This window comes from Homo sapiens, chromosome 10, assembly GCF_000001405.40.
Source record: "Homo sapiens chromosome 10, GRCh38.p14 Primary Assembly".
Taxonomy (NCBI): domain Eukaryota; kingdom Metazoa; phylum Chordata; class Mammalia; order Primates; family Hominidae; genus Homo; species Homo sapiens.
In genome coordinates this window covers 75,426,028-75,451,713 of record NC_000010.11, presented here as the reverse complement: position 1 = coordinate 75,451,713, position 25,686 = coordinate 75,426,028, and the positions used below count along the sequence as shown (strand labels likewise).

Genomic DNA, 25,686 nt, shown 5'->3' with positions numbered 1-25,686 from the left:
AGGGTAGGGGATGAAGTGTAGTAAGTCAAAAGCAACTTCAAAACAAAATCAGTTATTTGTAAACAATCCTTGTGGGGAATTTTTCTCCCCTCCACTTCCCCTACCCCAAGAAAAACAGCCCTGCCAGTTGTAATAGAAAGCCAAGTAAAGATAAATCAATTAGCTTGCTAATTTCTCCCCTCTCATTTATTTAGCTCTGCACTGTATTTGTCGTAATTGACTACAATTATGTTAATTACTAACTCCAGTATAATTACTATATTTATTGTCATTGAGCACGCGATGTACCCACAGCAAAGCTGGCATTTGTCGGGCATCAAGAAAGCAAACTGTCGAGAGGTGATTCTCGGCAAACTGGCGGATGTGGCTTCAGCAAATGAAAGGGCAAAAGAGATTTCATGCAATGTTAGTTTGAAAGCACCGGTTCATTAAGGATATTAATTTTCTGATAACTACACATTTAAGCATGACACACTCACGCAGTATCTACAGGATTTCGCAATTATTAATGCGTGACAGTTTCAAATGCTAAGTGAATCAATTAAACAGCAGCATTCACAATTTGAGAAGAGATAACTGCTTCATAACTACCTAAGACTACAATTTTCACATGACAAAAAAGAGCCATTGAGGCGCCTTCAAAACCTGACAGGTCAAGAAAGAAGTTTGAAACAAAAGCACCTTACAACCATCATCTCTCCTCTTTACTTGTCAGATCAACTTTGCTAGTGTCTCCCCAGAAACGGCATCACATGCCAGCTGCCACAAGGTGATTTTTCATGTCTTGTCAAAGAAATCTTTTATTCTATTTGCTCTGCATTAACATGTTACATTTATTGATCAAGGGCCTGTTCGGCAGCCACAGCAGGGCACTGAGCTCTCCATGCCTACGGGGCTTTGATGTCCCGGTGACATTCGAGCCCGAATAATGCACATACTAAATGGATTTAATGCAGAAATGTGTTTGGGCCTGACAGTTACATTAATAACAGCCCCTCACACTGATAAATATGCAATTGCTACTATTAAGAGTTACCCAATTATGGGGAAAATATTTCTCTACCTTATAAATAAATCCATCAAGGAAAAAGAAAGTTTTAACAATGGTGCATTTTCTTAAAACACTTCTCCAGCTGCAGGAAACGGGCCGTGTGGGGGTTAACACCGCCTCTCCTGCCCTCCCTCCAATTGTGTTTAATAAGTCTTGCTTTATCTCAAGAATGGTTTGGTGATTTTTTTTTTCTTTTAAACCTCTTTTGTTGGTCTTCCCTGTTCTACCCGTCTCTTATTTCTTCAGAACCAGAGAAAAAGCAGACACCCAAGAGACTGAAAAATTGGGTTCTGTATAAACTCAGCAAGGAGCTTAGGGGAGGTGGTGCAGAGGTGGGGGCAAGCAGCTGATCTCCATAATGATGGGTCTGGAGGAGGAGCTTTAAAAAAACACTCTACGCGAAACCTGAACATGTGTGTGTCTCTCTCTCATTTAAAACCCTAAGTGACCTTGTGCTAGGACAGTGATGGGGGTGGGGGTGTGAAAGGGAAGAGAAAGCAGCTGGGATGGAAGAAACCTTTTATTAGAAAAGTCTCGGCCAGGGAGAATTTGTAGTTATTATATCCCTGCAATTAAACACAGACACCCAGCAAAAAGCATAATCGCTCCCCTTTCATCATCAAGGAGCAGGGAACAGCTGAAATCACCAACACTACAGTCCCTGAGGAGAGGAAAGAGGCCTTTCAGACGGTGGGTGTGTGCAGGCAAGTGAGTTCATGTGCAAATACACACACACCCCCACGCACCTCTTCTTTTCCCTTCAGACTCAAAATTCAAGCATGCAGTTGTCCATCTCAAGGTCCCCCAGTCCCAAGGCTGGCACCACAGTCAGCAGTTGTTGAGCCATTTGTCCCACGGCTGCGATCTCTGATCTGAACCACATCTCACAGAGCAGGGGAGAGGAAGAAAGAAGAAGATAAGTTCTCTGGGAAACTCCCACCTCCCAGGCCTCATGAGGTCCTGCCTCGCCAAACTTTCCAAATCAGAAAGGTTTTAGAGAAATGGGAGAGAGCAGGAAATGCTATATACGTATGACTTCAGGGCCTCTAGGGTCTTGAACTCAGAGCAACAAAATCTACTCAGACCCTGGTATAGTGACTTCCACAGGCTTTAATGATTCAAAAAAAAAAAAAGAAGGAAACTTCCCTCCCAATCCCCACCCAAAAGTAAATACAGGCTTGGCAGTAGCTGTCTTCTCCCACACACAGAAAAAAGATTTACACCATGAAAAGCAGTTTAGGATAACTGTAAAGCTGAAGTCAGACCACTGGGGCCATTTATCCCAGCTCTCCCATTTAACCATCAGGGTGGTCTCAGGCAATTACTCTGCTTCTCTGGGCCTCAGTTGCTTCATCTGTGAAATGTGGATAAGAACAGCTCCATTCTCAAAATGTTGTTGGGAGTAAATGAGATAACATATGTAAGTGTTCTGCCCAGCCATGGCATGTAGTGTATACTTGATAATGTTGGCTGAAAATAAACACGACTTCTTTTTTTTTTTTTTTTTTTTTGAGATGGAGTCTCACTCTGTCGCCCAGGCTGGAGTGCAGTGGCACGATCTTGGCTCACTGCAACTTCCGCCTCCTGGGTTCAAATGATTCTCCTGCCTCAGCCTCCCGAGTAGCTTGGATTACAGGCGCATGCCACCACACCTGGCTAATTTTTGTATTTTTAGTAGAGATGGGGTTTTGCCATGTTGGCCAGGCTGGTCTTGAACTTCTGACCTCAAGTGATCTGCCCACCTCAGTATCCCAAAGTGCTGGGATTATAGGCGTGAGCCACTGTACCCAGCCTAAACATGACTTCTGATGTCATCTGTCTGACTCTCTGTCCCTGGACTCCTTTGGAGAGTAGAGCCAGTCTTCTCTCTTGGTATTATTGGCAAGTCTGCTTTATCATGAAGCTCATCAAGAGAACCATTCTGCCAGCCATCTCCAACAGGGCCCCAGAGGTCTTTCTCAACAGGCTGCAGTTGGCATAGTGGGGGAAGGATTCCTTTCATCCAAAGCTGTCCTATGCCCTGACAACATTTGCCATCCCTGGCCTCACCCACTAAATGCTAATAGAGCCCACCCCCATCACTGTGACAATAAAATGCCCTCTATAGTAGCAGAATTTCCTGGTTGAGAACTTGAAGGTCTAGCAAGTAGAAAGTCTGAAAGGGTTAAATTCTCCAGTCTCCTTCCTAACACCCCCAAATCACCACTGCTCCTAACAGCCACCCTGACAATGTGGAAGGCAGCACCACTCACATGCACGATAATGTCCTCAGAACAGACAGCAGGGCAGAGGGAGAGGGTGGGGCAGTGCGGCCCAAATTCCAACAGCTCAGGGAGAGAGAGAGACTTTACAAGACAGGAAAATAAACCCCAAGATTCTGGGACAGTAAAATGGGTGAGAGGGGAAATAAAAAGCATTATACAAAAGTCTAGGAATGTCTTATCTTAGAGGCAAATGCTGCAGAAAATATGGAGACAATGTTTATGAAAGCACTTTCTAAATTATATTGCAAGTTACAGGGATCATCATCATTCAAGAAAGTGAACCTCAGGGAAGTCCTGTGGCCCCTTAGCAACTCTCTCCAGTTGCCCACCACCTCCTGGGCCAGTCTTACCGTGGCACAAAGTATCATTTTCTCTGGGTAGAAATCCAGGAAGTCAGGAAGCCTTAGGGAGGAGGGAGTGCCACAAAAACCACCCTCACATTGGCCTGAAACCTGCTGCCTTAGTGCTCTTCCCTCCCTTATGGAGTCAGATTTTTGTTTGTTTGTTGTTGAGACTGGGTCTTGCTCTGTCACCCAGGCTGGAGTGCAGTAGCACAAACACTGCAGCCTCTACCTTCTGGGTTCAAGTGATCCTCCCACCTCAGCCTCCCAAGTAGCTGAAACTACAGGTGCATGCCACCACACCCAGCTAATTATGTGTATTTTTTGTAGAGATGGGGTCTTGCTATGTTCCCCAGGCTGGTTTCAAACTCCTGGGCTCAACTGAGCCTCCCAAAGTGCTGGGTTACAGGTGTGAGCCACCACGCCCAAGCTAGTCAGACTGTTTTGACACTTCTACAGGCAGGGAGGTCACTCCAGAAAGTGCAAGTAAAGAGAATCAAAGTCTTCTAAGTGAAACTTTTTTCTTTTTTTTGAGATGGAGTCTTGCTTTGTTGCCCAGGCTGGTGTGCAGTGGTGTGATCTTGGCTCATTGCAACCTCTGCCTCCTGGGTTCAAGGAATTCTCCTGCCTCAGCCTCCTGAGTAGCTAGGATTATAAGCACCCACCACCACGCCCTGCTAATTTTTGTGTTTTTAGTAGAGATGGGGTTTCACCACGTTGGCCAGGCTGGTCACAACTGAGACATTATACATCACCCACCACGTCATTTTCCACTTCATCTTTTCATTGTATGTTCTGGTGGTAGCTGGAGACACCAGGATGGCCAGTGATATTCTTGGAACAAAAATATTTTTTTTTACTGCATTGCTCAGCTTAAAGAGAACACTGGTTCTAACATACATAGAACCTTGCCTCCTAGGAATCAGTCAGGATATATCAGTGCCCTAGAACTACATTGAAAATTCACTAACAATTTATCTTCTAAAGTCTATCTTTTCTACCATCACCTCTTCTGCTCAAGGCTTACAGACATGAGCTCTGTTGCCTCCCCTACCCCAATATCAGCATGCTTCCCAAATAAGACCACTACATTTGAGGTTGGAAATAAATATGAATAAGGCCCTTGGCTGCAAAGCCAGTATTTAATGAAGACCCACTACCAACAGAACATGTCCTTTGAACTGTTCTCCTGAGAGTCTGGGTGGGGAATTTTCTCTCCCCAATCCCACTGGAACATGATCAAATATATGCTCCTAGCTGGCAGGGATAAAAAATATATATGAGGTGAGCTGGTTTAGCCTATGGAATATCAGGGACAGTTGGAAAGCTAAGGTATTTATATTAGTTAGGATAGGCTAGGTTATGCTGCATTAACAAGTAACTCCAAAATCTTATAACACAGATGTATTTCTCATTCAAAATCTATGTCCACAACAGATAAGCAAAGGGTTATACTCATTCCAGTCAGAACCCAAGACTGATGATCATATTACTAAAAGACGAAGTGGCAAATCATTTACTGGCTCTTACAGATTCTGCCCAGTGTTCATACCAAAGAACGCTGAGATATGCAAACACATTATGTGTGGAAGGAGATGAAATCCTGACTATCTGTGAGGAGCCCCAATGACAACCATAGTGAAATGGCCCTCATGGAGGGTCAAGCCCAGGCTCTTAGCCTCACTAGCACCATCTTCTAAGCGCTATGTTTACTAAAGACCCATTATATGCCAGGTAATTTAGAAGGCACATTACACACAGCACTCAACACTTCCGCAATTAGCCCACAGTCAGTTAACCAACAGGTGAGTGACAGAAGCAGGGTTTCAAGCCAGGATGGTCCAACCCCAAAGCCTTGGTTCTTTTCATTACACTGCCCATCTTCCCAACAGAGCAGCAAGTTAACAGCCCAGCTCTGTCTAGCAGTTCATAACAGAGACACAGAAAGTATGGTGTGTCTGTCCTCAAAGCAGCTCTGACAGTATTCCAGGTGTCTGCCTCATTGCCTGCAGCAGGGGAGAAAGGGCAAGGCCACTGTTTCTTTTCTGAAGTTTCCCAAACTCCAAAGCCCTTTACCCTCATCCCGGCCAAAGCCAAGGAAGCAACAAGCAAGCTCTACCTAAGAAACTTTCTGCTAAGCAATTCTCCAGCCCATGCATTTATCAGAGTGATGCAAAATAAGATGCAGCTGCAAAGAATTTAATTTTTAAAACATAAGCTTCCTGTTGCCATAGATCAATTAAACCCTCTCGCTTTTATTGCCAGGTTGACATGGGAATATTTATCACTGTTTGCCATGGGAGCTCTGCTCTGCCTGCTGTGTTCAACAAGCTAAGCAGGCAGCCCACTCAGGGCCCCTGGGGGAGGGGAATGGGGCCACCAAGGAGAACTCTGCCCTGCCCCAATCAGGGGAGATGGGAAACTAAAAAGCTGGAACAGTTCATTAAAATGTCCTCTTTGCATTGAGCAGATTAAGGAACCAACCCGGCTAAAGCACAGAATTATCTTTACTAATTAACAAAGGAAAGGTAAAATATGAGCAAGCTCAAGGAAGAATTTGGGACCATGGACATTCAAATACTCTTGGAAGAAGAAACTGGTATCACCTCTCCAGAGGGTAATCTGACATCTGTACCAAAGCTGCCCTATTTTGTCTAGAAATTTGTCAAAGCAGCTAATCAGAGACATACTCATTAATGAGTATTACAAAGATATTTATATTAGAGCTATTTATAATAGTAGAAATTTGGAAAAAAAAAACAAACTAAATGTCCAACACTAAGGAAAGACTTGAGAAACCTTTAACAATTGTGATACAGGCTGGGCATGGTGGCTCATGCCTGTAATCCCAGCACTTTGGCTGAGGTTAGAGGATCACTTCAGCCCAGCAGTTCAAGACCAGCCTGGGAAACATAGGGAGATCCCACCTCTACAAAATTTAACAACAACAACAACAAAATTAGCCAGGCATGGTGGTGGTGCACACCTATAGTCCCAGCTACTCAAGGGGCTGAGGTGGGAGGATCGTTTGAGCCTGGGAGGTTGAGGTTGAGTTGCAGTGAGTCATGATCGTTCCACTGCATTCCAGCCTGGGTGACAGAGTGAGACCCTGTCTTAAAAAAACATTGTAACGCAGTAAAGTATTTATTGAGATGGGGAAATGCTTCCAACACAATGTAAACAATGGCATCATTTTTTAAAGTATTTGGCATTGTAAAAGACTAGGAAGACAATACAATGATAACAATGGTGATTTCTGGTTGGTAAGATTATCAGTGACTTCAGAGGAAGATGGTTTCCTCCATACTTTCTCTGGGTTTTCCAATATTTCTATATTAATTACTGTTACTCTTATAAAAATTATCTTAAAAAATAAAGATCTTAAATACAATTTCACACTAGACATTGGACTCACATTCACTAATGCATTCAATTTCAAGGGACAAAATGTCATGCCCCCTGCCTGTTACCTGATCAGCTCCCTAAACCCTCTATCCTCATTCCAAGGTGGATGGCAAGACCCTGACCCTGAGAATTGAGTCCAGAGAACTCAATCCAGTTCACAGTCACTATGGCTGACTTGGTTCCTGGCTGATCACAGCAGGAAGAATCAGATCCAGGCTGAAAAAGCAGAAAAGAGGAACGTGTGAGCCTTTTAAGGGAGCCAGAAATTTCATTTGGGCCTGTTTTCTTGCTTCCATTTCCAATTTCTAACGTGACAGGGTACACACTGGCTCCAGTAACTTTAATTCTCCCCCAGAAAAGAGTCACAAAAACAATACAGCCTGAAATCCATGACCTTCTACATGGAGAGGTCACCAGTTTACTGTTGGACAATCCAACTAACACAGAAGTGGATTTGCCATAGTTAATGCAGGAAAGAAGACTCTGACGTATAATGAGAAGAAAAAAAATACATACAGTAACTTCAAACAAAAGTCCAGAACTTATAAGTTCATAACTACCCTCCTTTCCAGCATAAACAGGTGGCCATAGTAGAATCAGCAGAACTATCTCTTTTATGAATGAAATTAACAATGATTGTGGATGGATAAGAATGAATGACAAGACAACAAAGAAGGATGTTCCTTATATGAGTGGTTGAAACCTGGTGCCTTTCTTTTAACTAACATCTTGGCAAGCAGTAAATACAAATCCAGCCACATAAAAAAATTCACCCAAGCAGATCAATAATAGGGAGATTAAATAAATAATCAAAAATCTCCCAACAAAGAAAAGTCCAGGACCTGATGGCTTCACTAGTGAATTTTATCAAACATTTAAAGAATTAACATCAATCCTTCTCAAACACTTACAAAAAATTGGAGAGTAGGGAACACTTTCAAACGTACTTAACAAGACCAACATTGTCCTGATACCAAAGCCAGACAAGGACACTGCAAGCCAATATCCCTGATGAACATACAAGCAAAAATACTCAACACAATCAGCAAACCAAATTCAACAGCACATTAAAAGAATCATGCACCATCATCAAGTGGGATTTATCCCTGGAATGCAAGGATAGTTTAACATACGCAATCAATAAATGTGATATACCACATTTATTGATATATAATATATACCACATTAACAGAATAAAGGATACCATATTAACAGAAAAAGCATTTGATAAAATTCAACATCCTTTCATAATAAAAACTCTCAACAAATTAAGTATAGAATGAATCTACCTCAACATAATAAAGGCCATATATGACAAGCCCACAGCTAACATCACACTCAACAGAAACAAATTGAAAACTTTTCCTCTAAGATCAGGAATAAGGATGCCCACTCTCACCATTTCCATTCAGTATGGTAATAGAAGTCCTAGCCAGAGCAATTTGGCAAAAAAAGAAATAGGAGGCATTTAAATTGGAAAGGAGGAAGTAAAATTGTCTCTGTTTGCAGATGACATGATCTTATACATAGAAAACCATGAAGACTACACCAAAAAACTGTTAGAATAAACAAATTCAGTAAAGTTGCAGGATACAAAATCAACACACAAAAATCAGCTGCATCCCTATACACCAACAAAGAATTATCCAAAAAACTTAATCCCATTTACAATAACATGAAAAAATAAAATATTTTATAGGAATAAAATTTATTCCTATAAATTTAACCAAAGAGGTAAAAGAGCTGTACAATGAAAACTACAAAACATTGATGAAAGAAACTGAAGGATACACACATAAAGGAAGATATCCCATATGACCTAAAGCAATCAACAGTTTCAATGCACTCCTTATCAAAATTCCAATGGCATTTTTCACAGAAATAGAAAAAAAAATCCTAAATTTCATGTGACACAAAAGACTCCAAATAGAGCAATCTTGAGCAAAAAGAACAAAGCTAGAGGCATCACACTACCTGACTTCAAAACATACTACAAAGCTATAATTATCAAAACAATACATACCGACATAAAAACAGACATATAGACCAACGGAATAAAATAGAGAGCCCAGAAATAAATCTGCATTGACAGTCAATTGACCTTCAACAAAGGTGTCAAGAACACACAAAGGGGAAAGAACAGTCTCTTCAATAAATGGTGTTAGAAAAACTGGATATCCATATGTGGAAGAAAAAACTGATCTCTTATCTCACACCATATACAAAACAATTGATCCCTTTTCTCAGATCATATACAAAAATCAACTCAAAATAGATCAAGAACTTAAACATAATGTAATGTACAGCATGGTGGCTATAGTTAATATTACTGTATTGTATACTTGAAATCTGCTAAGACAATAGATCATTCATGTTCTCTTCATACAAAAAAGGGAACTGTGTGAAGTAAGGGATATGTTAATTAGCTTCAGCTCAGTAATCATCTCACAATGTATGCATGTATCAGAACATCATGTTGTATGCTACAGATACAACTTTTAGCTGTCAATTATGCCTCAATAAAGTTGGAAAAAATTTAAAAATCATATGTTAGTATATGCATGGAATATCTCTGGAAGATGACACAAAAACTGAGTAACAATACTTAGCTGTGCAAAGGGAAACTGGGAGGCTAAAGGACATGGTGTAAATGAGACTTTCTTCTCACTGCATATTTGCTCCTTCTAAAGGTTGTGCCATGTGCCTGTATTAGCTATATAAAAACTGAATAAACAGAACTCCTTGCCTAAAAGTAAACTTTGCCCTAAAACACAAATGGACTGCAGCTGATCTTGCAACCTAGAGGAGTGCAAAGTTTTTATTTATCAAGGTATTGCTCTGTTTAAGGCAATATCCTGATATAACTCTTTGGAGGAAAAAAAAAAAGAAAGAAAGCCTGTAGAGATATTCTAAAAGTAGAGGAAAGGGTTAATTTTTTTATATATAACAAAGGAAGAATTTTGTGCTTCTGAGGATAGCTCTGGAAAGATGGTAAGTGGCATGGAAAAGAGAGAAAGGGCCTGGGAGAAAGAGGCATTAGTCACATGCAGGAGGCCTGACCCTAATTAGAAGCACTGCCAGGGAGAAATTCTCTGTGGCAAGGAGAACCCAAAAAATTTCCAGAAACAGTGCTATCTCAACCTTATCTCCTGCTGTGTGCCACAATTACCACCCAGCCCTCTTCACTACACCTTCAGCTGGCAGTACAAGTCAATACATAATAACATGGTGTTGGGCTTTGGAGAAATGAAGGGTGTGTCCAGAGTGGGGCCAGGCAGGCTGCTCAAGAGGAAGAATAGCAGACAACAGAGCCGAAAGATGGTCAGGGAGCTGCGGTGTGCCGGGTGCAGGGCAGCCTGACTGGGAAACATGCTCCCTGCAATCCCACGGATATAGTGAGGGGCAGAGGGGCCTAGGTAGAAACTTTCTATAGAACATGGGATGTGGATTTACAATATTTCATTTGGATATCATGATCCCTGAAGCCTAGAGAGCTTGGGTCATCCACTCCATCCCCACTCATTTGGAAGGTAAGTTTAGAATCTCCTGTCTCTTCTCTTCTCCCTATTTTCCCCCTCTCCTGTTTATTCTTTTTTCTCTTTCTTTCTTTCTTTTTTGAGACAGTTTCACCCTTGTTGCCCAGGCTGGAGTACAATGGCACGATCTCAGCTCACTGCAACCTCTACCTCCCAGGTTCAAGCAATTCTCCTGCCTCAGCCTCCCAAGTGGCTGGGATTACAGGCACCCACCACCATGCCTAGCTAATTTTTTGCATTTTTAGTAGAGACAGGATTTCACCATGTTGGCCAAGCTGGTCTTGAACTCCTGACCTCAGGTGATTTGCCCGCCTTGGCCTCCCAAACTGCTGGGATTACAGCTATGAGCCACCACGTCCGGCCTCTGCTTATTCTTTTTTTAAGAGGAATTAGCTAAGCATCTAAAACATCTTAGATGTTGATTCAGCTGAAGGCAAAGATAGAGACCAGTGCCCAAATAAGCTCGAATCTTCTTCTAACACCCAAGAGAAATAGTGTTGCCTCCCCTGCTCTTCCCTCCAATTAGGTAAATAAAGAAGGTCAAAGGTGATCCAGTCCCAAGCACACCCAACTCAAGTCAGGAGTGCTTTTCTCCATTCTGGTCTGCAACTGACTCCAGTGTAACCAAGTTCTTAAACACAAACTTTTTCTGAACCTTAGACCTCACCCCTCCACTCCTCATCCCTGCCCAAACTCAGCTACTGTCCAGTGTGGAGTTCACACACTGACCACAACACGGACAAGAACAGGCTCCTGACCAGATGTGAAACCAACTCAAACTCAACACTACAGAAATGTCTCTCCTCTCAACAAAGGAAAATACAAATCTTCAGTGCTCTCCCTCTGAATCCACTTTTCAGCCACCCCCTTACGAAATTTTCCTGCATCTAGTATGTGTCATTTCCTACAATAAATCCATATAGATCCAGCCCCTCAGAGCCAACAGCCCCTTCTTGCCACACATACACACCTCCCAAGGTCCAGTACCTCCTCTCCCAAAGAAAGGCAGGGCCCCTGGACATCACAAAGATGGCTGTGTTTCCTCAAACCCAATAGCCCAGTCCCATGATCCACATGCACTGATGCTCCCTCACGGGGTCCAGCCTCCTCAAATCCACATCCGGCTCCCACTAACTACTCAGGGCAACCACAACCCAAGCTCCAGTGCCCTGAGCCCCTGGGGGCTGGTCACACAGGAGGAACTCCTTCCATGCCCAGGAAAGGAAGCCTTTTGCCTAAGTCTGCTCTGGGAAGCTGGAGCACTCAAGGCCACGCACTCGGTCCTCTCCTTAGGTACTGGAACAAAAAACACATCCTTCATTTCTCTAGAGTCAGCATGTATTTATTTGGCTTCCTCTCATCCCTGTGTACTACTTTACAACTTGTCAGTTTCCACCTCTCCCCAGATGCACACAAACCCTTTGGGAGTAAGGAAGAATACACAGACAGCGGCCACTCTCCATCCACTACAACCCTCAGGGTGCCCCTTTCCTGGAAACAACACAGCTCTGTGTGGCCATGTGCTCCCGAGCAGCATCCAAGGAGTTCCGCTGGCTGACCTCAAACAAATCCTCTTCCACCTCTCGTGCCTTATTACCCTGAGTTGTGTTCATTTTCCAGAGTTGTGTTCCATTTTCCAATTACAAATTCCTAATTCCCAAGTATCCTGACTCAGCTGTGGGAAATGAAGACTCCAAGGCCTAGAAGCAGGAAAGTGCTTGGGCCCTGGAATGGAATTCAGGTTCTTATCTCTCCTTTGACCCCAGGACAGTCTGTCCCACTCAGAGGGCAGCACAGCTCTCAAGGAGGGCATGGAGGAAAAAGCCCTGGGTGGCACCAGCTTGTTAGGAGGAAAAGCAATCGTCCTGCCTGACCCCTGCTCTTATCCCACTGACACCTGCTTTCCAAGTACCTCTTACTTCTTTCCTCCAAGCCCCCAAACCAGGCGCAAGGCATAACCTTTTAGGGAGAAAGGAAATAACTGCCTGTATTCTCCACTGGAATAATATACAAGATCACACTTACCTTTGCCAAGACTGGAACAGTTGTCAGAGAGTTTTCCTCCCACCCACTCCACACCAGCAGTATTTAAATTGCTTTGAAACACCATCCGGGAGAAATTATCATCACAAATATTTAAAGCTCCCATTCATAAAAAGACAAAAGAAAGAGAACACACACATACACACACCCTACCTGTGACTCGACGAATGTTTTGGGACATGTGTTTATCCTAAGAAAGCACACCTAGACACCCCAAAACACTCTTGCAGGCTTCATCTCATTCCTTCCCCAAGAGTATTCTGACCTGTCTGCACAGGTATCCGTGAGAAATGAAAAGAACACAGTGAAAATATGACGGCTCTCTCATAGGAACTCGTGTGAAATGGATGAGGCTCAATATGCTGCCTGCCTCTTCAGCAGCACAAAAAAAGGCAGCCAAGGAATCACCGGACACAGTGAAACCTTTGGGGTGTGATTCCACGCATCTCAGAGCCTTCTGCTGAATAAAAGGACAACCCATGTGGAGTTGGAACATTTGACTTTTATCTGCTTGGCCCTAAAGTACCCAGGAGGACTGGGCCTCCCAGGCCTGGCCTACATCTTGTGAAGGTTACATACCTCAGAAGGTTAAAGCTCAGATCAAGCCTCTTTGCGAAATGTCCACAGTCCCTGCCAAGGTGCTCTGGAATTTCTCTGCAGTCCTGGCCTATGTAGGACACCTGGAAATTAAATGGAACAGAAACAATGTGGCAAATGGAAATCACCCAGCTGCTCCCAACCCTGAAATTACTGATCCAATGATTGCTTCTGCAACTTGAAACACATGTTTCTCACACACAAAAAGGCCACACTTGTGACTGTTTCCCTGATCAAATCAGCTTTGGGGGCTCCAAGGACTCCACCAACAGCTCCCCTTTCCTGGTGCAGTTAACATGATGAAGACTAATCCCAGGACAATGGAAATTGGACTAAAATTGGCCAGATTCAGGTGTCCAAAAGAAACCTGAATATCAGGGCACATTGATATAACCGCAACAATCGCCCTCTCACTCAGGGGCTTTTGCAACAGTTGCTCCTCTGCCCCTTCTTCTCCCTCTCCTCCACTGCCCTCCAGTACCCTGGTATGCACATTACCTCATAAAAGACACAGCAGATGCACTTACCAGCATCCAACCTTCAGGGTGCTGGAACAAATAGGGTTGGAAAAGAAAACCTCCCCAGACCACAAATCCCATCCAGTTGCCACTGTGTACAAAATGCCCTCCACACCCAAACAAAGCTGATTTGAAGGCAACAGGGCAACAATGTGTGTCCGGGGCTCCTGAATGTCCCTCCTCCAGAGGCCCTTTGGCAGTCAATCCCACTCTGTGCACAAAGCTGTTTCTTTGGGCATTCTTCTATTTATTACAGATTATTTATTATTAAGTACCTGTATGTGCCCAAATATTAAAAAGCTGAACTGAACTGAATCTGAACTGATTCCAGAACCTGTGAGAAGGTCAGTGGACTTTCTCACTACCCTAATCACCCAGTTTTTGGAACCCATTTTTACAGACAGCACTCTGTGGGCAGATTGGCAACTAATCCTCAAACCATAAAATAAACCCATGAGGCCGAGTTGACCAGTGGGCCACAATGCATGCTGTTTCCCTAAAATACAACATGCTCAACCCCCAGCTTGAAATTCAAGCCCAAGACACGGCTATAACCTTCTTCTGGTTTCCCTACAAATCACATTCTTCCACACATATAGACAAAGATCTCTTAGAATGAGAGAGAGAGAGACTCCCCAGGAGGGTGTTTCCTCATGGGAAACAAGACTATGGTGGCCATCTTACATCCTCAGATATTAGGTTCAACTATGTGAACTACCAATATCCAACCATTTTAGAACCACAAAATAGCTCTTTTACATGGTGCAACCTAATACAAGCTGCACTGAACCCTGACACCCTCAACATCTCCAGTCATCTCTCAACCTTCTCCTATCCAATGAGGACAAACTGCTGACAATGCAATATCCTATATCCACTCTCCTTCAGTAACTTCATTCTAGGAGGAGAGAAAATAAGGAGAAAGGATAGAAAAATAGCTGACTCCAATAAAGTAATTTTGACTCAAGAAGATATAGGCTAAAAAATAAAGGACTCTAAGTTCAATCTAGCAATCTCTCCTCTTTCTACCTGGGGTCCATCTTTCTTCACAGTTCCTTGTGTAATAAATTAAGTTCTGCTTCCAAGCTGAGACAGAAATCATATGCCAAAGAGAGACTGTGGCTATAAGGCCCTATTCTATCTGGGGACTTCGATTTCCCTCAGGATCTCTGCTCAGTCAGCAGCTTCTTGGCCAGGCGCGGTGGCTCATGCCTGTAGTCCCAGCACTTTGGGAAGCCGAGGTGGGAGGATCATGAGGTCAGGGGATCGACACCATCCTGACTAACATGGTGAAACCCCATCTCTACTAAAAATACAAAAAATATTAGCCGGGCATGGTGGGGAGTGCCTGTAGTCCCAGCTACTCAGGAGGCTAGGGTAGGAGAATGGTGTGAACCCTGGAGGCGGAGCTTGCAGTGAGCCGAGATTGCACCACTGCACTCCAGCCTGGGCGACAGAGCCAGACTTGTCTCAAAAAAAAAAAAAAATTCAGCAGCTTCTTCTGTATTGTACGTTCACAATGAACCCCAGGTCCATGGCGCTCACCAGAAAATCCATCCCATTCACCCCAGCCTGCACTACTGTCTTGCACATATTATCAGTCAAGACCTCTGTGATATATATAGCAGAGACGTTGAGTTTTAGATGCAGAAACTGGGCTCTTTCCTCTTAGAATGGCCAAGGACTAAATCTAATAGACACCCAGTTTGTCAAAACTTCTGATGTTTTATACAAGGAAACTAAGACTCCAGAGCCCTGCCCAGCACAATACAGCTTCTTAGTGATAGAGCCCAGATCAAGTCCTATGCCATAAATAAGGACTTCCAACTTGGGGGCCATGGAGTGCTTACAAATCCATGTGTGGGTGTGAGATTTCTCTCTCTCTTTTTTTTTTTTTTTTTTAAAGAGATGGGGTTTCACTGTGTTGCTCAGGCTGATCTCAAACTCTGAACTCAAACAATCCCCTCGCCTCAGCCTCCTAAAATAGCTGGAATTGCAGATACAAGCCACCATACCAGGCAGACATGAGTTTTCTTGATCAGCAAATGCCAGTGGTGCATCTATCATCATGTTTTGGCTTCAAAATGAGTCTTCTGAGCTGAAAGGGCAAGAACTTCTCCCACGGTGCTACACTGAGGACCCAAGAAGAGTGTTAGAGCCTGGGAAAAGAGAGGGATATTTGCTTCCCTTTTTCTTCTGTAGGAATTCCATTCAAAGGAAACAGGAGCACCAAGGAGAGCTATCATAAAGCATTTGGATCACTCACAACATCTGATGAGACTGTCAGCAGCCTGTTTCAGTACATGGTCTTAACTATACAACATCCCAGGAAGACTAAGAAAAATACAAGTTGTTCTCACTGTTCTCAAATGTGAAGACCAAGTCTCAAAAGTTTAGCATGAGAACCAACTCGATAAGTAATCTGCATGCTTAGATAACTCCTGTGGTAAAGTAGAAGCTTTTAGAGATGTGAGTTAAGCCGACCAGGCTGAAGGGCTCAAATCAGCTGGAAAAGGCTTAAAAGCAGCAAGCAGCCACTGCCAGACATTGCAAGCAATGCTTGAAACTAGAAAAAAGACTTAAGAAGTGCTTCTGAGGGAAGACATTACCTCTCAGGATGTCAGGAAGCTTCTTAGAGCACAGGACCACCTAATGTAAGATTCAAGGCCAGAAGAGCCAAACCAAAAATAGTTTGCTTCTTCAGCAAAAGGGAGACGGGATACAGAGATTAATAGATCTTAAATGGCACAGAAGCAAGAGCATATCCAGAACACCATTGCATTTAGTCAATTACCTTGACTTAGACTGCATTGAGGAACAAAGATTCAAACTTATAATTTCTCTATTTTCTATAATTTGTACCCTAAGACCTCCACCCTGTGTGGAATAACAGGAAGGGACACCATTACCAGGCAAATGAAAATATAACAAGTTAAAGACCCCTACGGAGAAGAAACTAGAAAGGGAAAGGAGAGTGTCTGGAAGGGGTCCCCACCTATGTACACACCCAATCCCTCCAAGCCGAAGCTGCAGAAAATAACCAAACTGCAGAAGACTGCAGGTTTCACTTTGCGTTGGGACTCTCTGGCTCCCAGGGCATTTCTGGAGATGATGAGTTTGTCAACAGTCAGATGTTGAGGAGATTATTTTTTGATGCCTACCCCTAGCCAGGGGTGGGAGATCCTCGATTTTAAATTTGTAATACTGAGCTGGGCACAGTGGTGCACACCTGTATTCCCAGCTACTCAGGAGGCTGAGGCAGGAAGACTGCCTGAGCTCAGGAGTTCAAGGCTGCAGTGAGCTATGATTGCGCTACTGCATGTCAGCCTGGGCAACAGAGCAAGACCTTATCATTCATTCATAAATAAATAAGTGTATGTGTGGTACTGGAAGCTGTCGGAGTAGAAACAACCATAGGTACAAATCTGATTCCCGGTACTGCCACTGCTAGCTGTGTTGTCGCGGATGAGTCACCATCTTCGAGTCTGTTTCCTCTTCTGCAACTGGGCTAACACTAACTCCTCCAAAGGTGTTAAGAATAATGTAAAAACCAACATTTATTAAATGCCTATCATGTGCTTGTTATCTATTCAATCCTCATGAAACAGCCCCATGCATATTATCGTCCCTATTGTACTTACAGGAATGCGATGAGCTAACATATTAAAAGTGCACAACACTGTCCTTGGCACCCAGTGGCCACTCTGTTAAACAGCTGTTGAATCAGACCACTCTCCCCACAGAAGGGATTCATTATTCCAATATCTCTTGGGCGCAAGATTTCAGTGCCCAAATTCCAAGTTTGTATTTGTGTCTACGATCGTATTACGTTGTCATAAGCTAGAGGAAAGAGAAATGACTTAATGCTGAACATAAATGATGCATTCAAGCCAAGAGAAGCCAAATGAAGTCAGACCCATGGCAAATGAAAAGCCTTTTGCAGAGAAAAGCAATAGGAAGACTGCAACATCCCCAGGCATGTGGCATCATAGGCCTGTGGAGCTCCTAAAAACCAGCTCCACAGCAGTCAACCCATAGTGGCATTAAAAGCAGTGACCTAACTTCAAGCCACGCAGCATTCATCTCATTAAATTGTTTAATTGCATAGGGTTTTTTTTTCTTTGCACTTAAACCATCCCTTTATTTGGGATTTATAGGTCTCTGGATATGGGAAAGTTGTCTCTGGCTTCATGTTTTTATATTTGAGTAACATTGTAATAAAAACTATATTCACACTATGGGCTCATGGGAAGTTTTGCGGGTTTTATTTTCCTCCCTTTAAGAAGGATCTACTAAAGTCTGACAAGTACTGTTCCATGCTACCCACATCCAAGGTGCTACCTCTTAAAGCGGCCGCCATTAGAAATCGCTGGGAGCAGAATGTAGAAAAAACAAACAAACAAACAAACAAACAAAAAAACCACCTCCGGGGCCAGACACTCAAATCCACTAACCTGGGCAGTTTAGGAAATGGGGCACTAAGACTCCAGGGGCATTTTCCCAGCCTACCTTCTTAGCTCCTCCCCAGGCAACTCGGTCTAATAAAACAGTCCCCAAGGGCCTAAAATGCCTCACCCACACTTCCATGAATGCCCTTGGGCTGTTTGGAGTAGGCTAAGAACAGGGGCTGCAGGAAAAATCGAATCTAGGAAACGGAGGAAGAGCAAAGGGAAAGGAAGCACAGGAAAGTGCTCAGCCCCATGAACTTGTAGCAAGGTACACCGGGAGAACACCAAATCTGAAACGCAGAGAGACCTAGGGTCTGGGGGGCAGGGAACCCTCCTTCTTAGGTAGATACTCCAAGAGAAGGAAAAGACCCTCTTGTCCAGCCCCTCCCTCCAGGCAGTAAATTAACTCCCAGAAAAAAAAAGCCCCTTTCCCCGATGGCTGAACAAGACCCGTCATTTTTAGCCTCTCCGCAGGCTGTTAACTCACTTCTGAACTCTGGTCTTTCTCCAGCTCTCTCCTCCCAGGCTGTGGGTCAAGGGACAGAGCCAGCATTCCTGAGCAACAAAACTGTTAAATGGGGGGTGCACAGAGACAAAGGAAAGGCTAATTTCCAACAACACCTGGCATGGTGCCTGGCATACAGTAGGCACTCAATAAACATGTGTACCTGATGAAACGACAGGACTCTGGAAAAAAAGAAAACAGGCAGCGGCTAGTTTAATGGGCTGCACAGTTGGCCCTCACTGCATCTGTAGGAGCTGTAAAAACCCCTAGAATCTCCTCTAAGGAGGAATCATTCCCTTCAGCCCAAAGTAATCTCAAAATCCAATTGTGCCTGACACTACCTGCCTTAGGCAATCCAAGAGGAGAGCTTCAAAAACTCAGAACTATTTCTCCAGGGTGTGCAGGGAAAGGTGGGAAGTAAGAGGGCTCTGGCTTCATCAGAGCAGAGAAGAGGTTAAAGACAGAGAACTGGCTTTTCCAGCAGGTAAGAAAGACACCTGGTCCCAGAGTGGCTGGGTTCATCCCTCCAACAATGAACACCTGAGGCTTCACTACAGAGCTCAAAGCATGTGAGACTGGGTGTCTGGCACCCAGGATTGAAACTGGCGTGTTGCCATTCATCACAGACTCCTGTTCAAGAAATCGAGTGTGGAAAGAGAACTGGAGGTCGGTGGCCTTCCATCAGCCTTTGGCTATGGCGTAGCCCATTCAGCGCAGGGCCCACCAGCACCCTCATCTCCAGGGATGTGCTGGGACTTTGGGTACCCTAGACACTTTTGCCTTCATAAACCCCTTCCTCCATTTACAAATAAGTAAATTTGTATATTACAACTGCATTGGTATAAAGATGACTATATCAATGTGATTTATCAAAATGGATTCTTTGACCAAAAGTTTTTAAAATTCAGATTATGAAATTGGAACATTTTCTGTGGGCCCCCAAAAGCAGCGGGGGCCGTCAGCACTGTGTCCGCTGGGCCTGCTCAGTGAGGCGCTAAGGGCAGAAGGAAGTGGGGAGAACGGGAGACCTTGCGGGTGTTCTTCCCGCACATCAAGGGGGTGTGCCAGGCCCGAAACGAGGTCTGTCCTAGCCCCACTAGGGCGAGCCTGAGCACCTGAAGCTCACCCCCTGCAGACGCAGCCCCCTGAGGCGGGGACAGGGGTGTCTAGGCCCTGGGGAGCCTCTGTGCCCCGCTGTCCCTCCCCACGCGGACTGCGCCCCGGGCGGAGGCGGGGCTGGCCGGGACTTACTTGAGTTCCACGCACCACGAGCCCGGCCATGGCGGCCAGGACGCTGCGGGCGCGCGGGACGGAGCGCGGGGGCGCGGCGGCAGCAGCGGGGAGCGCGGCAGGGGAGCGCGGCGGGCGCACAGTTCCGCACTGGGCAGTCAGCTGACCCGGCGGAAGCCGGAGGCGCGGGCTAGCCTCGGGGACCTCAGCTCCGCCGCTCGCCGCCGCCGCCCCTCGGCCCGGTCTCCGCGCAGGTGAGCCCTGGCCGCCCGCTGCAACAGGTGGCCCGCAGCGCCCCGCGCCCCGACGGCGGCCTGACCCCGACTGCCCGCGCCCCTCCCTCCCCCGGATGTCCCAATGCCCAAAACTCCATGCCCACAGCTTTATCGCGTTTGTCTGGGCCACGCCTGAGGTGGGGGTATTCCTATCAGGGGCGCCCTTTCTGAGCCGTTAGCCGGGCTGTAGCCAGCCGGGCCTTTCCTGCATTTCGCAAGCTGGGTTACATAATGGACCTCAACTGCAGCGAGGAGGGGCCTCTTGGCTGAACGCCCCTCCTCATCAAAGCTGGGGAGAGGGAAAGTTAGAAGGTTGAAGGACTCCTGGTGCGGCCCAGTTTCCATTTGTAGGAGGGGAGGGGGATTGGGGGGGTTGAATTTCCCTATAAATAAAACGCTGGCTTGGTGAAGACCACCCCACCCTTTCCCTGTGGCCTCTAAGAGTTGACAATAATAAACCCTGGGGAAGGATAATTGGCTGGTGACCCCAAATTTCAGGCTTCTCTTCTCCTGCTCCTCAGAGGGCAAGAGATTTGTGAGGCTTGAAGTTATCAGTGGGGTTATTCGCTGTTCCCCACCCACCCCATCCCCACCTGGAAGAGCTGGCCACGGGCCTCCTGTCTGGATGAAAGTAGGCCCAGTGGGCAGGTAACTCCCTAAACCCATGCCTGTTTTTCTCTGAAATTCTCTGGAAGGATCCAGATTTTCTCCTTGCCTATTCTTGCCTCCAAGTCCAGGATGCACAGAGCTACCAGATATCAACTGGTTGTCATCTTCCACTCTTGCTGCAGCTAAGAGCCAGCCCAGCCTTAACTGGCATCGTCTCTCAGACAGCCCCGGTCCTAACACATTGTTAGGTGGGCCCTTGTCAGCATTTTGATGAGCAGTGTTGATCTCGGAGGGTTGACCTTCCTGCCCCTCTCTCAGCTGGGAGGAGCAGGCTCAGAAGAGTAGAGCAGTAAGAATGCAGTCTTGACTGTGTTTACTTTGGGGGATTCCAGGAAATGCTGCAACAAAAGGTCCTGCAGGCCAAAAAAGAAAGCTTACCCTCCAGAGATAAGGGGATCAAAGGGAACCTTCCCAGGCCTGTTGCCCCAAGGACCAGCTCCCCCGCCTTCTCCCTCCTTCTCTGCTGGACGCGCCCTCTCTGGTCCATTGTGCACTTTTGTCTGCTTTTCCTGCCTGAAAAGGAGGAAGTGAGCCCGGACCCAGCCAGCACTCTGCCCTCCGCAGCTGCCTTTCAGCTCAGCTTTCCTAGAAGGGCTTTGACAGATGGAAGAGGACTTGTGGAAACAGGCCCAAGCTGACTCAAAGATGAGATTGGAGAACGGCTCTCCCTTCCCCCACCAGAAGGGGGTTACTGAAGGTCATCTCATCCATCCCCCTGCCTCCATACACAGCTGGGTCATCTGAGCATAGGCTGTTCTGCAGACACTACCAATGTCACCAAAGTGGGCTGGCATCTTTCCCCCTTTCCACACCCTCTCACTACTGTTGCCTCCTCCACATAGCCCCAGGGCAACCATTTTAAAAGCCCAATTAGATCCTACCTAAAATCTTTCAATGGCTCCTAATCAAGTAATAATTAATACAGTCCAGAATCTTTAGTATGTCCCTGAAGATCTCTTATAATCCCATCAATTCTTACCTCTTCAGCCACCTGTCCCAGCTCTCCCGTCCTCTGGCTTCACAGAAGCTGTTAGTTTCAGCTGGAAATGCTTCCCCACCTACTGCTGTCTCTGCTTGGTGAACACATCAAGAAGGCCAGTTGATGGTGTGGGGAAGGATCATGTGCAGAAATCACAAAAATTAAGATCAGGATAGCTCTGTTGGAGGGGGGCTTTAGTGTTGGAACTGTAAACTGATAACAATAGGGAGCTATTGAAAGTTCTTGAGCAAAGTAGTTGTCTTAGTCTACTAGGACTGCTGTAACAAAATGCCATAAACTGGGTGCTTATAAACAATAGAAATTTATTTTTCACAGTTCTGGAGGCTGGGAAGCTGAAGATCATGGCACCCACGATTTGGTGTGTGGTGAGGGCCCATTTTCTGGTTCCCAGACAACGGCCTTCTTCCTGTGTCCTCAAATGGTAGGAGGGACAAGCTAGCTCCTGTGGGCCTCATTTGTAACAGCACTAATCCCATTCCTGAGGGCTCCACGCCAATGATCTAATCACCCCCCACAAGGCTCCACCTAAGACCTTGGAGGTTATGATTTCAACATATGAATTTGGGAGGGACACAAATGTTCAGACCGTAGCAGAAGTAATTTCCTGAATGTTGTTGGGGGAGGACACCAGCAGAAACAAACTGGATTCACCTGTCCTTACTCCTCAGCTTTTGGAGTTAGTCTTCAGAATAGAAGAACAAGGAGAAGGAGGAGGGGAAAGGAGAATAGAAGGAACAGAAGGAGGAAGGGGGGAAGGGAGAAAGGTAAAAGGAAAAGAAAAAGAATCTGTGTCCCTGGACCAAGGAAGATTGGAAGCCGGGAGGGGGAACATCCTTCTACCTCCTTATCACTGTTGCCAACAAAAAGGAAGATTAAACAGAAATAGTAAAGTTCCTCCATAATGTAGCCCTCCCTCGGGGAGGGGAGAGAGCAAAAAACAAAACAAAACAAAAAAAACACTGAGATAAGACTGACCTAGGAGTTAGACAAATAATTCCTCCGGAATACAAAGACTTTACAAGGGTGAACATAGCAGACGAGTCCTGTAGGGGCTTCGTCCTGAACACAGCTCTTTCTGCCCCAGCCCCAGGAGCACTGAGGTAAAATATGGGCTCATGCAGTCACGGTCCTCTCACCCCACTCCATGACTCATTGAAAGTGAGCTGCTAGCTTCCTATCCTGCCCATCTTACTTCACAGCCGCTGTGCCCCAGCTTCTGGCCTTGTGCTAGGCACTAGGGACATCCCTGACTAATACTGTTCAGGAGAGACGCTCAGACTTGTGCACAGACATTCACAGCACTGTGTCAGCAAGAAGTGCTGTCATTGTGATCCTGTTTTCTGAACCCCAAATTGAAGCACGTAGCCCAGCTTGTACAAGTGCACTCAGGAGGACCACAAAACAGAAAGTTCAAATCCAACCTATGCTGACCACCCTGAGCCTGTGAATTCTGGAGCTCTGACGGGCACATAGAGAGCAACAAGGTTCAACTCATACAACTGGACATTCTCTTATCGCCCTTGATGAAGAGGGCAATATTTTATTCCTATTGTCATCATTGTTATTATTATTCTGCTTTGGCAGAAGAGGCCCTTTGCCTTAGAGTCCTTCCTCCATCACATTCCTGGGGACAAAAAGGAAGATCCTGTTTATTTCCAATCAAGGGAGTTGATTCTGGGGTCGGCCAGAACCAGTGAAACAGGAACTGATTCCTTAAATCTTCCAACTGTGCATTAGCAGCTGAGAGAAGAACAGGGCCAGTTAACCAAGTTTTGTTAGCATTCCTAACTATCCTTAGCTGTATTTCTCTTCAGCCTGGCCTCATTTCTTTCAGGCCCAGCCCCCGGGCAGGTTAAGATGGTTGCTGTAATTAATCATGCCGTGGGCCCTAATTCAGACTCACCACATTCAAATTTCAATTTAAAAAAAAAAAGGCGGGGTGTCTACTTAAGAAATGCTCCGCTTATGAAATGCTCTTTGTTGCCGAAGCAGCCCCCTTTCAGCCTAAAGGAGAAAGTCTAGGAAGTGCAGGAAAGAAGAAAGGTTTCCAGGGCCCTCTTCAAAGTACTTGCACATATGTGAGGGGACTGAGGATGATCTGTGCTCCAAAGCCCCTCCAGTATTTCCCAATCAGAACAAACTGAATTTTTAAAAATATATATTAAATACCATCATAATATCTAGGATGAGTGTTCATTCCACAAATGTTAATTTATTATTCTCAGTGCCTCTAGTTTTCCTTCTCTTTTTTTTTATTTTTATTTTTTTGAGACAGGGTCCCAGGCTGGAGGGTAGTGGCGCAATCATAGCTCACCACAGCCTCGACCCCAGGGCTCAGGTGATCCTCCTGCCTCACCCTCCCAAGTAGCTGGGACTACAGGCACTCACCACCACACCTGGCTAATTTTTTTGTATTTTTTGTAGAGATGGGATTTTGTCATGTTGGCCAGGCTGGTCTTGAATTCCTGGGGTCAAGCGACCTACCCACCTCAGCCTCCCAAAGTACTGGGGTTATGGGCATGAGTCACCGCACATGGCTGTTTTCCTTCTCTTTAGGTCTTAAAAGGTTTTGTCATTATTTCTCTGTGAAAATGCAAACAATAGGACTGAGCATGGTGGCTCATACCTGTAATCTAGCACTGAGACCAGCCTGGGCAACATAGTAAGATTCTCTTGCTAGAAAAATAAAAATAAAGTAAAATGCAAACATTAGTTGGCTGTGGAGAATGGAGTGGGTTTGAGGAAGGTGGGAGTGGGAAAGGAGCTTCTGCTTTTCACTCCATTTCTTCTGTGGTTTTGGTAACATGCGTATACTACTTTTATAATTAAAAACAAAAAAGGAGGAGATTGGCACAGAATAGAGAATTTACCATGAAAACTACTATCTGCTAATCTCTTAGTACTATTTTAACAAATCCTGAAAACAGCAATGAGAAACAAATCTTATTTCCCATTTTACCTGGAACTCGCCGCAACTCCAAGTCCTTGGCTGGGCATGGGAGGCAAGTCATCGCTGACTTGGAGGAGGGGGGCTCACGTTGGACCTTCAAGAGGGAAAGAGAACCCACCCAACTGTCTATTTCCAGTGGGAGCACCTTTCCAGAATCCCAGCTTGACTTGGAGAGGTTCTGCCACTTGGAAGTTGGGGAAGGGTTCCTCCCACCCTCAATTAAAATACATAGAACTTGGTAGTCAGTTCATTAAGGTGGTCCCCTAGTATCTGTATTTTTCTCAAGTACTCCCAAAATAATTTGGATTTATGATCATCCAAAACTCACTGCTTTAGAAATCATCTACTCCAATTACTGATGAGGGAAACTGAGGCTTAAAGGGCAGAAGGGACTTGCCCAAGGTCACCCAGCAAATAAGCAGGTGACCCCAGGCCAGAAAAGAAAACAGGACTCCTCCTATGTCCCACTAAAAACAGGATAAGGAGGCTGAGAGGAGCACCTGAAAGATGCCATTTCACATCTAATCACTTCTTGTCACGTTGCAACCATTTTCCTCATATGGAGCCTCACGCTGATAGATCAGAAATAACATTTTGAAAGTTATGTCTGCAAGGAAATGGCTATTAATGTTCTTCCTCTCCTTTTAGAGCATCAAGGAATACATATTAATTTTCTCTCTACTTACATTGCCTATTTGCAAATTGTATTCACTACTCAGTGCTCCAATTTGTCCCACCCCTGAAGAGATTATGATGAATAAATGTGTTCCTGGAAATAAAAAATTTGTCCCTGAGATTTATTTTTATAATTATTTACAGGGATTATTTTAGAATATATGGGGGGGCAATAATGT

General features: G+C 45.1%; 1 protein-coding gene and 1 long non-coding RNA gene across 2 annotated transcripts in view, besides 4 other annotated features; one reads left to right on the top strand and one right to left on the bottom strand.

The window, feature by feature from the left end:
- LRMDA (leucine rich melanocyte differentiation associated) overlaps nt 1–20,090 on the bottom strand; it is a 1,128,545-nt gene extending 1,108,455 nt beyond the window's left edge. Inside the window, exons 1-2 of the mRNA NM_001305581.2 lie at nt 19,960–20,090; nt 13,220–13,320 (exon numbers count right to left, since the gene is read on the bottom strand). Of these exons, the coding sequence (NP_001292510.1) occupies nt 13,220–13,320; nt 19,960–19,989 (131 nt within the window). The 5' untranslated portion in view covers nt 19,990–20,090. The remainder of the gene's footprint in view (nt 1–13,219; nt 13,321–19,959) is intronic.
- Nucleotides 262–1,147: an enhancer, noted in NCBI's record as "OCT4-NANOG hESC enhancer chr10:77210325-77211210 (GRCh37/hg19 assembly coordinates)". NCBI's record gives its function as "activates a minimal SCP1, AML or CMV promoter by ChIP-STARR-seq in naive H9 embryonic stem cells {active_cell/tissue: H9 hESC(naive)}" and the evidence as "EXISTENCE:reporter gene assay evidence [ECO:0000049][PMID:30033119]".
- Nucleotides 19,281–19,781: an enhancer, noted in NCBI's record as "H3K4me1 hESC enhancer chr10:77191691-77192191 (GRCh37/hg19 assembly coordinates)". NCBI's record gives its function as "activates a minimal SCP1, AML or CMV promoter by ChIP-STARR-seq in naive H9 embryonic stem cells {active_cell/tissue: H9 hESC(naive)}" and the evidence as "EXISTENCE:reporter gene assay evidence [ECO:0000049][PMID:30033119]".
- Nucleotides 19,782–20,282: an enhancer, noted in NCBI's record as "H3K4me1 hESC enhancer chr10:77191190-77191690 (GRCh37/hg19 assembly coordinates)". NCBI's record gives its function as "activates a minimal SCP1, AML or CMV promoter by ChIP-STARR-seq in naive H9 embryonic stem cells {active_cell/tissue: H9 hESC(naive)}" and the evidence as "EXISTENCE:reporter gene assay evidence [ECO:0000049][PMID:30033119]".
- Nucleotides 20,041–20,140: a silencer, noted in NCBI's record as "silent region_2516". NCBI's record gives its function as "represses an Ori minimal core promoter by ATAC-STARR-seq in GM12878 lymphoblastoid cells {active_cell/tissue: GM12878}" and the evidence as "EXISTENCE:reporter gene assay evidence [ECO:0000049][PMID:35858748]".
- LOC107984293 (uncharacterized) lies at nt 20,104–25,615 on the top strand. The gene is made up of 2 exons (XR_001747703.2): nt 20,104–20,192; nt 21,404–25,615. It is a non-coding gene; the product is annotated as an uncharacterized LOC107984293 (long non-coding RNA).
- The last annotated feature ends 71 nt before the right edge of the window (nt 25,616–25,686 follow it).